Source organism: Homo sapiens, chromosome 4 (genome assembly GCF_000001405.40).
Source record: "Homo sapiens chromosome 4, GRCh38.p14 Primary Assembly".
In the NCBI taxonomy this organism is placed as follows: Eukaryota; Metazoa; Chordata; class Mammalia; order Primates; family Hominidae; genus Homo; species Homo sapiens.
The window spans coordinates 80,356,658-80,374,545 of record NC_000004.12 but is presented as its reverse complement, the minus strand read 5'-3'; the positions used below and the strand labels follow the sequence as shown (position 1 = coordinate 80,374,545).

The 17,888-nt window shown below is 38.8% G+C and overlaps 1 protein-coding gene across 6 annotated transcripts in view; it reads right to left on the bottom strand.

The window, feature by feature from the left end:
• Positions 1-17,888, bottom strand: part of CFAP299 (cilia and flagella associated protein 299) — a 642,486-nt gene that overhangs the window by 589,205 nt on the left and 35,393 nt on the right. For all 6 annotated transcript variants that reach the window (XM_017007976.2, XM_047449975.1, XM_017007977.2 and 3 more), the window contains one exon: positions 11,662-11,792. In XM_017007976.2, coding sequence (XP_016863465.1) covers positions 11,662-11,792 — 131 coding nt within the window. The remainder of the gene's footprint in view (positions 1-11,661; positions 11,793-17,888) is intronic.

The window sequence follows — 17,888 nt, the reverse complement described above, 5'->3', positions numbered from 1 at the left end:
CCAGATCTCTAAATCTTCTGAGCCTGAAGAAGTAGCCCACTGCTCTTCAGTAAGAGCTAGCAAACCCCCACAACTAGCAGCAGCAATGTAAAGAAAATAGAGGCCTTTCTCCCACATAAAAGCAGGTGTGTGCCTCAGGAGATATCCCCAGTTCCCTTATCAGAGTTACACTTCTGGCCACCAGGCTGATAATATGGTCAAGTCACAGATAGGGACATGGTAGGTCTGATAAGAAAAAAAGGAATATTATCCCACATATACTACAAGACCTAGGACTTGTACCAACAAGACTAGAGGGACTCATTGGACTAGATTCTGGGGATTCTAGGTCAGAGAAAGCAGAAATAAGACTAAATAAGTCAGAGTTTATTCACATGACACTTTCTCAGAACACAGGGCATTGCATTCTGGTACGGACCCCAGAAGATGAGGCAAACTCTGCTAGCGTGACTCCAAGAAACCTGGAACAAGCAATGGCCTACACTGAGTGCAGTTCAAAGGCCTAAATTTCAGAGAGAGACTTTTGAAGAAGAGAGGAAAATGCTCAGGAAAATGGCAATCCTAGAAGAAACATATTGTGTGAGACCAGAAAACTCACCGGAAGATCATGGTCTATAGAAGAACCCAGAAGATAGCCAGTCGTTAATAGCATAAAAAATGTGCTAGTTACTGAAGCATCAGAATCATTAAGAAGTTCAGTGATGGCTCTCCAATGCATTCCAGGGCTGAATGCAGAAAAGCCTTGTTGCATACCTAGGCTACCCTAAGCACAATGGGCATAATAGTACCTTGATGCAACAGAAGCTAAGTGATGGAACTTAACCATAAGACACCAGGGACTTGTAATTATCATAAGGACCAATGATGTAATGTGCCCAATGACCACCAAGGGCACTGCAGAAAGTTATGAAGATGGTTTATAGAACATGGTAATCCTTGAACAAAACAGATGGGCAATCAATAAAGGAATAACTCAATTTGTATCATAGTTAGAAATTAAAGATGGTTACTTGAGGTTGAAGGCAGCCATTCCAGTAAAAAAGCACGATGCACTGCCATATATCATTCAGTTTTTAGACCAAGAACTTGTTGACTAAATATGTGACCACATGCAGTATTCACCATAGCAAGTATTCATTGCAGTGATTCTCTTCTCCCCCAAAGAGACCTATGGGCATTTACTCAAATGAGTACACACAAAGGAAAATGTAATACCCACACAGTTAATGGACTACTGAATCTGCATTCAATCTGCATTCAAGCTGAGACTGGTATCTAGAGATCCAAAGAATCACTGTGGCCCCGCTCTTAGAGTGGAAGCTTATGGGGGTCAGATGAGAAATGGAGTCCTGGCCAAGGGTTAGTTTATCCTAACCCTTGGGGTTAGGTCCACTGTGTCTATGCAAGGGTTAGGTCCACTGTGTCTATGCAGCCACTCAGGGATCATTGACTGAAATGTCTAATTCAGATTGTCATACATGGCAGCTGGCACAACCCCCATGTTGAATCCTGGAGAATAAGTGTAGACTACCACAAGCTCCTCCAAGTAGTAGCCCTAATTGCAGTTGCAGTGCTACTTGCTGGAACAGACTAATGTGTCTTCAGATAGATACTATGTAGCTATTGATTTCGTGAATAAGTTCTTTTCTGCCTCAATTAGGAAATAAAGTCAAAATCAGTTTGATTTCTCATTAAACAGACAATAACATGTATTTACAATTTTGTCTCGGGGTTATGTTTATTCTCCTGTCCTCTGTCATAATGGAATCTGGGCTGGTTGGGCATCCCACAGAACTTCACATTGATTGATTCCATCAGTGACATCACGCTGATTGGAAAGGATGAACAAGAAATGAGTAGTACCTGGCTTTCAAAAGGCATGGTCACTCCAGAGGAGGGCAGATAAACCCTACAAAGCTCTGGGGGCCTGCCACTTCATACATTTTCCCTGATATACTACAGCCTTACTCAATGTGTTAGTTCTCTAGGACTGCTATAATAAAGTATCACAGAGAGGATGGCTTAAAACAGAAATATATTTTCTCACAACTCCAGAGTTTGGCTTTTCTCCTCTTCGGCCTTAGCCAGCACTGCTATCTGGGGACTCATTGAACGCCTGCTACACAAGCATCAAATCCAATACAAAGTTGCATCCCGACCAGGGAACCCATTCGTATGGTTTGAATCTGCATTCCCACCAAGTCTCATGCCAAACTGTAATCCCCAGTGTTGGAGGTGAGGCCTGTTGGGAGGTGATTGGATCATGGGGGCAGATTTCCCCATAGTACTGTCCTTGTGACAGTGAGTTCTTGTGAGATCTGGTTGCTTAAAAATGTGTGGCACCTCCTCCATCTCTCTCTTCCTCCTGCTAAGTCTGTGTGAAATGCTGGCTTCCCCTTCACCTTTCAGCAGATTGTAAGTTTCCTGAGGTCTCTCTAGAAACTGAGCAAATGTTGCCCTGTTTCCTATACAGTCTGAAGAATCATGAGCCAATTAAACCTCTTTTCTTTATAAATTACCCAGTCTTAGTTATTTCTTTATAGCAATGCAAGAATGGACTGATACAGAAAATGGGTACTAGGTGTTGGGTATTGCTATAAAGATAATAGAAAATGTGGAAGCAGCTTTGGAACTGGGTAATGGGCAGAGGTTTGAAACTGGATAATGGGAAAAATGTGGAAGACCCAGATGAAGACAGGAAAATGAGGGGAATCTTAAAGCTTCCTAGATACTTGTTGAATGATTGTAACCAAAATGCTGATAGTGATATGAATAGTGAAGGTAGGCTGAAGTGGTCTCAGATTGAAAGAGGCAACTTATTAGAAACTAGAGCAAAGATCACTTTGTTATGTCCTAGCAAAGAACTTGGCTGCATTGTGCCCTGGCTCTAGGGATCTGTGGAACTTTTAATTTGAGAATGATGATGTAGAGTATTTGGCAGAAGAAATTTCTAAGCACAAAGCATTCAGGATATGTCCTGGCTGCTTGTAAAAACCTATGTTCATATGTGTGAGCAAAGACATAATCTAAAACTGGAACTTATATTTAAAAGAGAAACAGAGTATAAAAGTTTGGAAAATTTGCAGCCTAGCCATGTGATAGAAAAGAAAAACTCATTTTGGGGGGAGAAATCCAAGCAGGCTGCAGAAATTTGTATAACAAAAAAGGAGCCAGGTGCTAATAGCCAAGATAATGGGGAAAAGGCCTCAAAAGGCATTCCAGAGACCTTCGTGGCAGCCCCTCCCATCACAGGCCTGGAGGCCTAGGAGGACTGAACAATTTTATGTGTTAAGCCCAGTGCCCCGCTATCCTGTGCAGTTTCAGGACACCAGTCCCTGCATCCCAAACCCCAGCCACCCCAGCTCCAGCTGTGGCTCAAAGGGGCTCAGGTATAACTCAGGCCATTGTTCCAGAGGATGCAAGCCATAGCCTTGATGGCTTCAATGTGGTGTTAGGACTACAAGTGCACAGAATGGAGGAGTTGAGGCTTGGGAACCTCTACTCAGATTTCAGAGGATATATGAAAAAGCCTGGATGTCCAGGCAAAACCCTGCGGCAGGGGCAGAACCCTCATGGAGAACCTCTTCTAGGGCAGTGAGGAAGGGAAATGTGGAGTTAGAGCTCTCACACAGAGGCCCCACTGGGGCGCTGCCTAGTGGAGATGTAAGAAGAGGGCTACCATCCTCCAGACCTCAGAATGGTAGAGCCACCAAAAGTTGCACCCTGTGCCTGGAAAAGCCACAGGCACTCAACGCCAGCACATGAGAGCAGCTGTGGGGGTGAAGCCACAAAGCCACAAGGGTGGAGCTGCTCAAGGCCTTGGGAGCCCCCCTTGCATCAGCATGCCCTGGATGTAAGACATGGAGTCAGGGGAGATTATTTTGGAGCTTTAGGGTTTAATGACTGCCCTGCTGGGTTTCAGACTTGCCTGGGGCCTGTAGCCCCTTTCTTTTGGCCGATTTCTCCCTTTTGGAACAAGGGTACTTACCTAATGCCTATCCCCCATTGTATCCTGGAAGTAACTAACTTGTTTTTGATTTTACAGGCTCATAGGCAAAAGGGACTAGCCTTGTTTCAGATGACTTTGGACTGTGGACTTTTGGGTTAATAGTGGAATGAGTTAAGACTTTGGGGGACTGTTGGGAAGGCATGATTGTGTTTTGCAATGTGAGAGGGACATGAGATTTGGGGAGCCCAGGGACAGAATAATATGGTTTGAATCTGTGTCCTCATCAAATCTCATGTCAAATTGTAATCCCCAGTGAAGAAAGGTGGGGCCTGGTGGGAGGTGATTGGATAATGGGGTCAGATTTCCCCCTGGTACTCTCCTTGCAATAGTGAATTCTCAAGAGATCTGGTTGTTTAAAAGTGTGTGGCACCTCCCCAACTTTCTATTCCTCCTGCTCTGGCCATGTAAAGTGCCAGCTTCCCTTTCACCCTCTGCCATAATTGTAAGTTTCCTGAGGACTCCCCAGAAGCTGAGCAGATGCCACCATGCTTCCTGTATAGCCTGCAGAATCATGAACCAATTAAACCTCTTTTCTTTATAAACTACCCAGTCTCAGATATTTCTTTACAGCAGTGTAAGAATGAACTGATATACCCATTGTATAGAAAATAGATACAGCAGAGTGTTCATGAACATGGGGTCCTCTGGTCATATTATGCATGCACTATCCAGAAGCTGTCAGCTAAAAGTGCTGGAATGTTCACTGAAGGCACCACTGAATCTCCAGCTCGGCAGCAATACTATTAAAAACCGATGTGCATGCACTAGGATACTCACCAAGGAAAACAGCAAGTGTCTCACTGAACTACAAGCTATGGCTGCCACTTAGGCACCTTGGGCATCTTGTGCCCAGGAAGCAGCAGGCAAGAAGAGGAGACATGATCTTGTAGAGTAACTGATGCTGATCAGCAAAAAGAAGGACTGCAGTTATAGAATGGGGATAGGGAAGAATACATGGCTAACTCAGGTGAACCACCTAGGCATCTGTTCATACGCTCTTCCTAAATTTTAAATGTGAATGACAAATGTATCAACATGGGCCTGAGTAGAGTAGGATGATAAGGGCCTCAGGGCATTTGTGAATAAGGATTTTGGGTCACATCACAAAATCCTAGAAAGATGATAGACAAAGGCAGGAGATTTAGAATGGATAGTGGAAGAGGAAGATTATGAAATGATAGGGGCGGTAGCTCACCCCATTGACTTTATTGTGAGTTTCCTCTCATGAAGAGAGGCCTTTATGCTCTGGAGGAGCTGCTCCATGTGCGCATGAAGTAGATCTGTATGTTACAAGATGCATCACTCAGATGTACCTTGTATAAAGGAATTTCTGCCAGCTGTGAGGAGCTTCATGAGCTGACAGCTTCCAGCTTTTAACCCTTTCAAGATTGGCCTCAACTTTTCTTAGTGGTCCCCAGCCAATGAGTACAGTGGAGATACTAAGGCCTGGCTATTTCATCCCATGTGGGATAACTTGTACTGTGGAGCTCTCCACTGTGCTGAGAGATTCTCTCAAAGTTTGAGGTTAGGGCTCTGACCCTGCTCAGTCCTGCTTCCTCACTTTTCCTTTCACAGGTGTTTGCTTTCTCAACAAACCTTGTGCACTCCTAATTCTCACTGTCTGCTTCCTGGAGATGCTAATCTGCAACAAATCACAACTGTATTGCTTTGGTTTGAAAGCAACAAACCATGAGAATAACTATTTAAAAATATGATACTAAGCAAAAAGTTAAAATTATTTCACCAAACACTTAAAATACATAAATTTTCTCATTTAATTCTCAAGTATATGATATTCAGTTTTTATCATAAAATGATATACAAAAATAAAACAAGGTTGACAGGATAAAGCCATTCTTATATAAAATAAACTCTGGAATTTTATCCGACTTCATCACCATAATTTTTTTTTAAGATTTGGGGTCTCACTATGTTGCCCAGGCTGGTCTTGAACTCTTGGGCTCAGGCAGTTCTATCTCAACCTCCCAAAGTGCTCATCTCCATAAAATTAAAAGTATTTTATAAGTTAACAGACATTTCTACCTTCTATAGTTAAAAACAAATTGAAGGAGATAACTATACATTATAGCAGAAAAAAGAATTTAACAGATGCTAAATTAACTAGATTGAATAGCATAAGAAAGGCTGGAGATTTATCCAGTTTTTACATTTTATTCCAGATATACTTGAGAATAAAGGGTACAAGAGCCCTACTCTAAATCACCATAGAAATCCTCTTCATCAAGTACAAAAAGATCATAGGGATCCATGTATATACAGCATCTGAGACTCCTATCAAGTGAATCCTTACAGTAATTCCCAAAGACTTATCTAATAGTCTTCCAAGAAGATGGCAATAGCTAACCAGTACAATGACAGAATCCATCAGGGCTACCACTTATTCCGATCATCTGCATTTCAGATACCATGCTCTAGCAAAATAAGGTCATTATCTCAGAACCAGTTTTAAGAGGGGTGAATTCATTTCCCAATAAGATAAGGTGACCCAAAGTGAAAAACTGATGATCTTACAAGCTCATCCAGGCAAGTATCCAGCCTGAGGGATGACTCAGTTGTAACTACTGACTAGGCTCTAGGAACACAATAGTCAATGTGTGTCACGAATATTGAAGTTCCATCTCTCCACCACATGGCAATCAGCTGAACTTCTCACTATAAATAGAAATTATCTGGCACTTATGCAAGAAAACCATGGCCAGTCCCTGGGGGAGAGAATTCCCTGTCCTGACAAATGGGTATCAGCTAAATTACTCCCATCCCTTCTTCCAACCTCTACAGCTTCTGTCTTATGGCTACTATAACCAGTGGAATGAATCTCAGTGGAGAAGAAATCAGAGATGTTTATATAATAGTGGAGCAGAGATGATTTTGAAGCAAAGGACGAGAAAGCTAGGAGAATGAAGAATCGACTCTATCCCCCCGACCCTGCCCCACATCATCACCTTGGATACCAACCCAGTAAATGTTGAAATGGGTGCCTCTAGTTGGTATAGTTTTTGGAGAAAAAAGGGCCTTAGTGAAGGAACAGGTACAAATTAAGACAAAGAAGTAAAGAAAATAATTTGTGAATAAGGGGAGTTTATCATAAGATTGAGGCAAAATGGATGTGTTCACTCACACCACTCTTTGCCTGATTAACTCTAATTGAGCCTTTAAGAATCAATTTAGTGGTCAAACATTAAGAAGAACTTTTCTTATTCTTCACGTCCCCTCACAAATCTTGACTTTGTATTACTTCAAAATGTTGCCACAGTACTTACGATTGCATTTATCATCTTCCATTGCAATTGTCTTTTTGAACTGAAATTTAAATCACATACTATAAATTCACACTTTTAAGGTGCACAAGTCAATAGATTTTAGTATATTTACAAAGTTATGCAATTATCACCAATGTCTATTTACACATATTATCACACCAAGAAGAAACCTCATATTCATTAGCAGTCATTGTCCAATCTCCCTTCCATCCAGTCCTTGGAAACCATGAATCTACTTGTCTCTATAGATTTACTGATACTGGACATTTTATATAAATGGTATCATGCAGTAAGTAGTCTTTTTTTTCTAGCCTCCTTTGCTTACCCTAATGTGTTAAGGTTTTTCATGTTGTTGCATGTAACACTACTTTATACCTTTTGATGACTGAATAGTATTTTATTACACTTAGGTACCAAATTTTTTATCCATTCATCAGTTGATGGGTTGGACAATTTCTACCTTTTAACTACTATGAATAATACTGCTACTGACATTTGTATATGAGTTTTTAAGTGGACTTAGGTTTTTCAATTCCCTTGAATATGTGTTTGGTAGAATTGCTGGGTCATATAGTAACTCTACGTTGAATTTTTTGAAGACCTGCCAAACTGTTTTCCATTTTCCATTCCCACCAACAATGTAATGCCTTTCATTTCTCTAGTCTTCAAGCTTCTTGAGGGTGAGAACTAAGTCTTGTTTTCTATTGTATTCCCAGAGCCTACAGCACAGAGCCTAATGCACTATGGTTGTCTAATTTGTGAAAGACTGAATAGAAGCCCAAAATATTTTTTTAGCATTTTTGCCTTCTTCTTGAACATCCCTAATCAAAATATACCTTCCTGATATCTTTAACTTTCATCTCTCCAGACTTTTTCCCCTGTGAAGCTATTGTGAGTAATTAACATACTCCTAGATACCAGCACTTCTCGAAATAGGTGCTCTATGATTGCTAGACCAAAGAATTGTGACCTACTTGGAGTTGCTCACCTGCATATTAAAGAAGTTAATGTAAGATGATCTGATAGTGGAACCAAGTGTTTCCAAGTTGCCAGCTGGCTGGCAGTCAGATGTTCATGCATATTTTCAAAGTGATCCTCCAACAAATATAGGCACAGGACATATTTGGCTCTAGGACACCATCTGCTGGCCCTGCTGTCAACAACACTAAATGAACCTGGAAGGGAATGGACTACCACATGGGGCAAAAGGCAACATATGGTACCCATCCCATTACAAAGGCAACCAGAGAAGATCTGCAGATGAAAGGGCCTTCAAATTCTAGCAGCTCTGAATGGGGATTAGTCTCCCAAAACTGGCTCATAAGTAGCCTGATGACTTCCAGCTCTGACCAGTTAAAGAGACTATTGCATAGAGGAAATACCTACTTTGATCCTCAAACACAAAATGGACATGTGATGTCAATAGAACTTAGACTTTAAACATGAATAACTCGTCTTGATATGAAATAGCTTATATCACTCATAAAATTGCATGTGAATTTACAGGAATTCCTTGTAAAATCTCACAAAAATATTTCCACTTCTGCTTCTGACTGATAGACATTGACTGATTCTCACAAAAAGAAAAGACTCTCCCTGATGTTTTACATAAGACACATTTCAAACATTACATTGTACACAGAAAACTAGCCTCATTTCAATTTTCCAAGAATAGAAGTTGATAGTGAATAACTATGTTCGGTAAATTCCTGAGATTTTATATAAATTACCTGTGATAAGCAGAATGCCCCTTTCTCACATTAATGGGATTAAGGATATCCATTCTCTAATCTTAAGAACTGTGAATATGTTGCATTACATACCAAAAGGTCCTTTGCTTCATGAACAGACACTTTTCAAAAGAAGACATACATGCGGCCAACAAACATATAAGAAAAAGCTCAACGTCACTGATCATTAGAGAAAGGCAAATCAAAACCACAATGAGATACCATCTCATGCCAGTCAGAATGGTGATTATTAAAAAGTCAAAAAACAACAGATGTTGGCAAGGTTGTGGAGAAAAAGGAACACTTTTACACTGTTGGTGGGAGTGTAAATTATTCAACCATTGTTTGCCAATTCTTCAAAGACCTAGAGACAGAAATAGCATTTGACCCAGTAATTCCAACACTGAGTATATACCCAAAGGAATATAAATCATTCTATTATAAAGATACATGCATGTACATGTTCATTGCAGCACTGTTCACAATAACAAAGACATGAATCAACCCAAATGCTCATCAATGATAGACTGAAAAAAGAAAATATGGTACATATATACCATGGAATACTATGCAGCCATAAAAAGAATGAGATGATGTCCTTTGCAGGAACATGGATGGAGCTGGAAGCCGTTTTCCTCAGCAAACTTACACAGGAGCAGAAAACCAAACACTGCATGTTCTCACCTCCAAGCGGGAGCTGAATGATGAGAACACATAGACAGGACACATGGAGGGGAATGACACACAGTGAGCCTGTCAAAGTGGGGCTTGGTTGAAGCAAGAGCATCAGGAAGAATAGCTAATAGATGCTGGGCTTAATACCTAGGTGATGGGATGACCTGTGCAACAAACCACCATGGCACATGTTTACCTATAACAAACCTGCACATCCTGCACACATACCCCTGAACTTAAAATAAAAGTTGAAGAAATAACAAACAAAGGGCCTTTGCTGATGATATAATAAATATTATTGACTTTAAAACAGGGAGATTATCCTGGATCATTAGATGGGCACAGTGTAATCACATAAGTCCTTAAAAGGAGAGATATTTCTTGGACCAGAGTCAGGAAAGAACCTTCTGAAGAGGAAGTTGGAGAAATCTGAAGGGTAAAAGGGTCTTGACCCACTGTTGCTGGAGGGAGTGGGAAAGCTTAAAAAGAAACATGAACAGCTTCTAGGAGCAAAGACCAGCCCCCAAATGACAACCAAGGAACTGGAGAACTCAGCCGTATAATCATAAGGAATTGAATTTGGCCAACCAAACTGAACATGGAGGCAGTTGCATCCTCAGAACCTCAAGACAAGAATGCCATCCAGCCTACACCAGGATTTCAACCTTGTGATATACTATACAGAGGGCTTGGCCGAGCCACACTGTATGGACAGAACAATGAACAAAGAAATGTGTGTGTGTGTGTGTGTGTGTGTGTGTTTTGAGACGGAGTCTCGCTCTGTTGCCCAGGCTGGAGTGCAGTGGCGCGATCTTGGCTCACTGCAAGCTCCGCCTCCCGGGTTCACGTCATTCTCCTGCCTCAGCCTCCTGAGTAACTGGGACTACAGGCTCCCACCACCACGCCAGCTAATTTTTTGTATTTTTAGTAGAGACAGGGTTTTGCTGTGTTAGCCAGGATGGTCTTGATCTCCTGACCTCTTGATCTGCCCGCCTCTGCCTCCCAAAGTACTGGGATTACAGGCGTGAGCCACCACGCCTGGCCAGAAATGTGTTATTTTAAGTCATCAAATTTGTAATAACGTGTTATGGCAGCAATAGAAAACTAATATATTCCCAAATATCAGTATGTTAAACTTCAGTATACTATGGTTCTGAAACACAATTACCATTAGAATGGCCACTTCTAATTGCATATTCCCAAGACCAAAGCACATTCCACTACCAAATGTTATTGTTTATAATGTGTACATGGGAAGTTTATGCTCATAATTACTGGGTAATTTTAAAGATGTTATCCAATGATAGTATACTGATTTCTAAGTAATTATCCTCCCCAACATTTATACTTTAATGATCCACTTTTAAAAATGAAATAGGTTATTAATTTGTCAACTAGTTAGGTCTTTATAAAATTGCCTTACAAGTTTGATGCAGTTCACTTTAGGAATATATCTCTTTCATCATATGTTTTAACATATTTCATTACATTTATGTTTAATATAACCACATATTATATACTAACATATATAAATTAGGCATATAAACAAAAGTTAGTGATTAAAAAGTTGAATGAATTAATGCTTAGAAAAATGTGAGAACATAAATGATACTAAAGATTTACAGACCTCAAAGTACAAAGAATTCTAAGGCAAAAGTCATTCATATTTTTAGTATATAAATGTATAAAACCAATAATATCAAGTTACTTTTTAACAAGACTTTATTGGTATGATGACCATATTTTGGTATGTATATTTCAAATTAGTAGCTTGAAGTTGCATGTGGCTTTAGTGCAAGCATATTACAGTTGCTTCAGTTCCTCATCTGCAGAACAAATGCTTAGGATATTCCAAGTTTTACCTGCTCCACCCAGTGCTTCTAAATTAAACAATGCAAACGAAATTGAATTACTCCAGAGGTCTAGAATATAACATAAAATCTGGATTTGGAACATGGACACTTACTTTTGCTGAGCTCTTTCAGCCAGTCTTGCAATCTCTATAGCCGCTTTCCTTGCTTCAAAATCTTCCCTTTTCACTCTCTCTCCAGTCCCTCGGTAGCCTAGCTCCACCAACTGGCGGGCCAGGGTTTCATCCTAGAGAGAAAATCAGTTGTTAGGTGAGTGGGCAAATGAGACATACTATTTTTACTTACTTACTTATATCTTACATCTGCAATGTATACCAAGCAATTGCTTTAAATGAAAAATTAAATGTATTTAAAAACTAGACATGATCTATTAGATATAAAAAAACTAGAATTTTTCTAATAATACATTTATACACATCTGATTTGGTCTTCCCTTTCCCATATATTTAAGATGAAAAAAAAATGTCAATTGCTAATTTTTCTCTAAGGGATTAGAGGACAAAAGTCTGTTGTGTTTTTAATCAATTTATGAGAACAGCTGTAGGTAATTAATAGAGTATCTTTAAAACAATAAAAATAGAGACAATGGTACTCATACACAAAAGACATTTTAAAAACCAATGGCAAAAAAAAAAAAGAACCAAGCTGCTTTGAGAGAGCTCATTGTTTTAGAGCCTTACTTCCTTGAAGTCAATTAACCGATGGCACAGAATATTATAACTTCAAATACAAAATAAAGAGGAGCAGATGAATTTCTTACTTAACTATGAAGATTGTTTCCATATAATGTTGGTACCAATAAAAACAGAAAAGTAGAAACCCAGATCACCACAAAAAAATTTCAAATTGAAAAAAAAAAAAACTTCCCAGTATTTTAGGCCTTACACTTTTCTTACTTTAAGAATTATCGCATACATCTTTGTCAGTTGCATGGTATACTTAAAAAAATTGTTTCCCCATGATTTGACAAGGTACCATTTTTCATAAAGTTATTAGTATAAAGATTAAAGTATTCAACAACAGTATTTATATATTAATAGTGGCCATTATCATTTTAATTAAAAATAAAATATCTAAAACATAGTGAAAACAGAATCTATTTTATTATTATGAAGACTTAATTACTATATCGCTGTTGAATGCAAGAACTGTCTAACAGTTAAAGGAGAAAACTTAAGATGTCTAGTTAACAGTCTATTCAAACCATAGTGGTTAAAGTTGTAAGTATTCAAACAAAATAAAAAATTATATACTGTAAGCCTAGAAACCTGCCACTTTTATAATCATTAAAAACAAATACTAAACTCCACAAAGCAATGTGTATACATTTGCCAAATGATTACAATGCAAAGCAACAGGTCTTGGAAGGCCCAAGGCTATTATTCTTGTTTCTGAGACACTCCCTTGTTTAATAGATTTCTCTATTCCAGTATCCTTTAGTGTGAACCACAAAACTGAGCAAATATCTCCACCTAGTGGAATTAATCTTTAATAGAAATACCAATGCAGATTTGGGGATTAATTTACAAAAGTGAGATCATTTGAGTAAGAATTTTCTTAAATACATTACTGAAAGTGAATTTGTAGAAAGGACTTCAGCTCAGTGAGGTTGTGGGACTCTTCTGTAGGAATATAAATTCCTTGTGGTCAAACATAGAATTTTGCATAATAAAGATTACTTACAATTTGCTATATTTATTTTGAATACTGAGTGAATTTTGTATCCCTGTGTGCTTTACCTGGGTTACACAAAATCATTTGGATAATTCTGGACTCACCAATGCTAAACTATTTTGCAAGAAATGGCATGATCTATTGAGAAAATAAACTGAAAGTCGATATTGATTGCCTCACTTACCATTATCATACCCTAAACTGATGGAATCATGAGTCATCTGTCCATTATGACAACGTATTTCTTGCATGTCTTGAAATATCCTAGTTAAGAGCAAAGCTACTAGCCCAAAGGAAGTACAATGCCCAAGGTTATCTGAGGAATCTGAGCCTTGCTTGGGGGATTTGGCTTAAAATGGAATCTTGACTTGCATATTCGAACACAACTTTTTCCCAACCCCCAAAATAATGTATGTAAGGGCCACAAAGAAAGACAAAGTCTCAGTGACAAACTCTAAGGCTTGGCAGGTCTCAAACAGAATCCAGAAGAATTTTCCACCAAATATAAGGTAGATGGACTTGAATTGGAAAATAAAATCTACAGGTCCACTGGAAAGTTTGTTTTTTAAAAATTCCATATCCTTTTTACATTATCTGCCCTAGGATTCAGAAACTTGAAACCTATAACAATCAGAAGGCTAGTGGCTGGCCACTTACCTATCAACTAAATGAGTGTTACTAAGTTCATTTTATCTATTTCTACTTACAATAGTAATACATTATTGTTGTGGAAAACCTAAAGATATACGACAAACATATCATCCACATCATATATCACTATGATCTTATCACTCAGAGATAATCACTGACATCTTGGGGTATAGGCTGTCAATCCTTGCTCCTGACGTGTGTGGGTGTGTTGGATTTCTTTAAACAAAAGTAGTATCATGACTCCTGCTTGCAGAGCAGAGAGAAGGCACCTAGACGTGTACCCACCAGCATACCTTCCTCAAGCCAATACCGCCTCCAGCACAGTCTTCAGGAGGGGCTCACTCCCCCTCCAGCTGCATTGCCTCTGTCACTGTGGTGAGTGCCTGCAGAGAGGCAGGCACCTCAGCACCTGCTACCACTCTGCTGTGGTTGCCAAACCTCACCCTCCTCCCCCAGTTCAGTGGATTCCAAACCTCAAGGAGCAAGAGAATAAAGTCAGGGGCCAATACAAGTCCCCCAGACTTAGAGCACACAGTCCAGGAGTTGGCAGTTAAGCACTGGCCCCCTAAAATCTCCCAGAAATGAAGCCAGTCAGCTGGATCCACTTTATACCATAGCCAAACCCTCAAAGTCATCAAATAGGATAAAAGAAAAATAAAACCCATTCCAAGGTCAGAAACCTCAAAAATTGAAAGTACATAAGCCCACAAGGGTGTGAAAGAATCAGCACAAGAATGATGAAAACTTAAAAAGCCAGAGTGCCTTCTTTCCTCTTAATGACCACATCACTTCTCCAGCAAGGGTTGTGAACAGGACTGAGATGGCGGAAATGACAGAAATAGAATTCAGAATACGGATAGGAACAAAGATAATTGAAGTTACAGAAGTATATTGAAACCCAATGCACAGAAGCTAAAAATCATGATAAAACAATGCAGGTGCTGACAGACAAAGTAGACAGTAGAGAAAAGAATGTAACTAACCTGATTGAGCTGAAACACACAATATGAGAATTTCATTATGTAATCACAAGTATTAATAGCAGAATAGACCAAGTGCAGGGAAGAATCTCAGAGCTTGAAAACTGGCTTTCTGAAATAAGACAGTCAGACAAGAATAGAGAGAAAAGAATGGAAAGGAATTAACAAAACCTCTGAGAAATCTAGGATTGGGTAAAGAGATGGAATCTATGGACTCATTGGTGTCCCTGAAAGAGATGGGGAGAATGGAAGCAACTTGGAAAATGTATTTCAGGATATCATCAAAGAAATTCTCCAATCTAGATAGAGGGGACAATTTTAAAATTCAGAAAATGCAGAGAACCCCAGTAAGGTACTTCACAAGAAGATCATCTCCAAGATACATAATCATCAGATTCTCCAAGATTAAAATGAAAGAAAAACTGTTAAGGGCAGCTAGAGAGAAGCGTCAGATCACCTATAAAGGTAAATCTATCAGACTAACAGCAGACCTTTCAGCAGAAACTCTACAAGCCAGAAAAGATTGGGGGCCAATATTCAACATTCTTAAAGAAAAGAAAATCCAAACCAGAATTTCATATTTGGCCAAACCAAGCTTCATAAACAAAGGAGAAATAAGATCCTTTTCAGACAAGCAGATGCTGACGGAATTTGTTACAACCAGACCTGATTTATAAAAGCTCCTAAAGGAAGCAATAAATATGGAAAGGAAAGACCATTACCAGCCACTACAAAAACACACTGAAGTACACAGACTAGTGACACTATGAAGCAACAACATAAACAAGTCTGCAAAATAACTAGCTAAAACTGTGGTGACAGGATCAAATCCACACATATCAATACTAACTCTGAATGTAAATGGGCTAAAAGGTCCGATTAGAAGACATAGAGTGGCAAGCCAGATAAAGAACAAAAACTCATTGCTGTCTTCAAGAGATCAATCTCACAAGCAATTACACACATAGGCTCAAAATAAAGGAATGGAGAAAAATCTACCAGCAAATGGAAAATAGAAAAAAGCAGGGGTTGCAATCATAGTTTCTGACAAAACAGACTCTAAACCAACAAAGATTAAAAAAAGACAAAGAAGGGCATTAAGTAATGGGAAAGAGTTCAACAAGATTTAACTATCCGAAATATATGTGCACACAAGACAGGCGCACCCAGATTCACAAAGCAAGTTCTTAGAGACCTTCAAAGAGACTTAGACTCCCACACAATAATAGTGGGAGATTTTAACACCCTATGACAATATTAAACAGATCATCGAGACAGAAAATTATCAAAGATATTCAGGACCCAAACTCAGCATTAAATCAAGTGGAACTGATAAATATCTACTCTCTACCCCAAAATAACAGAACGTATGTTCTTCTCACTGCCACCTGTCACATATTCTGAAATCGACCACATAATGAGAAGTAAAACACTCCTCAGCAAATGCAAAATAACTGAAATTATAACAAACAATATCTTGGACCAAAGCACAATCAAACTAGAAATCAAAACTAAAAAATTCAATCAAAACCATAAATTACAGGAAAACTGAATAATCTGCTCCTGAATGACTTTTCAGTAAATAATGAAATTAAGGCAGACATCAAGAAGCTCTTTAAAACTAAAGAGAACAAAGGTACAATATGCTAGAATCTCTGGGACACAACTAAGACAGTGTCAAGAGGGAAATTTATAGCACTAAATGCCCATATCAAAAAGTTGGAAAAATTTAAAGTTAACAACCTAATATTACAATTAAAAGAACAAGAGGATCAAGAGAAAACAAATCCCAAAGCAAGCTAGCAGAAGACAAGAAATAACCAAAATTAGAACTGAATTGAAGGAGATTGAGACACACAAAAAAAATTCAAAAGATCAACAAATACAGAAGCTGGGTTTCTTGAAAAAATTGATAAAATAGGCCACTAGCTAGACTAATGAAGAAGAAAAGAGAGAAGGTTCAAATAAACACAATCAGAAACAACAGGGGGATAAAACCACCAACCCCAGATAAATATAAACAAACATCAGAGAATATTATGAACACCTCTATGCACATAAACTAGAAAATCTAGATGAAATGGGTAAATTAATGGACAAATAAACACTCCCCAGACTGAACCAGGAAGAACTTGAATCCTTGAACAGACCAATAATGAGTTCTGAAATTGAGTCAGTAATAAATAGCCTACCAACCAAAAAAGCCCAGGATCAGATTAATTCACAGCTGAATTCTACCAGATGTACAAAGAAGAGCTGGTACCATTCATGCTGAAACTATTCCAAAAAATTGAAGAGGGGAGAGTTCTCCCTAACTCATCCCACAAGGCCAGCATCATTCTGATACCAAAACCTGGCAGAGATACCACATTAAAAGAAAACTTCAGGCAAATATCACTGATGAACATTCATGCAAAAATCCTCAATAAAATACTGACAAACCGAATCCAGCAGCACATCAAAAGCTTATCCACCACAATCAAGTTGGCTTCATCCTTGGGACGCAAGGTTGGTTCAACATATGTAAATCAATAAACATAATTCATCACATAAACAGAACTAAAGACAAAAAACCACATGATTATTTCAATAGTATGCAGAAAAGACCTTGGATAAAATTCAACATCCCTTCATGTTAAAAATTCTCAATAAACCAGGTATTGAAGGAACATACCTTGAAACAATAAAATCCATTTATGACAAACCCACAGCCAATATCATACTGAATGGGCAAAAGCTGGAAGCATACCCCTTGAAAACTGGCACAAGACAAGGATGTCCTCTCTCACCACTCCTATTTAACATAGCATTGGAAGTTCTGGCCAGGGCAACCAAGCAAGAGAAAGCAATAAAGCATATCGAAATAGGGAGAGAGGAAGTCAAATTGTCTTTATTTGCAGATTATATGATCTTATATCTAGAAAATCCTATCAACTGAGCCCAAAAGCTTCTTAGGCTGATAAGCAACTCCAGCAAAGTCTCAGGATACAGAATCAATGTACAGAAATCACAAGCAT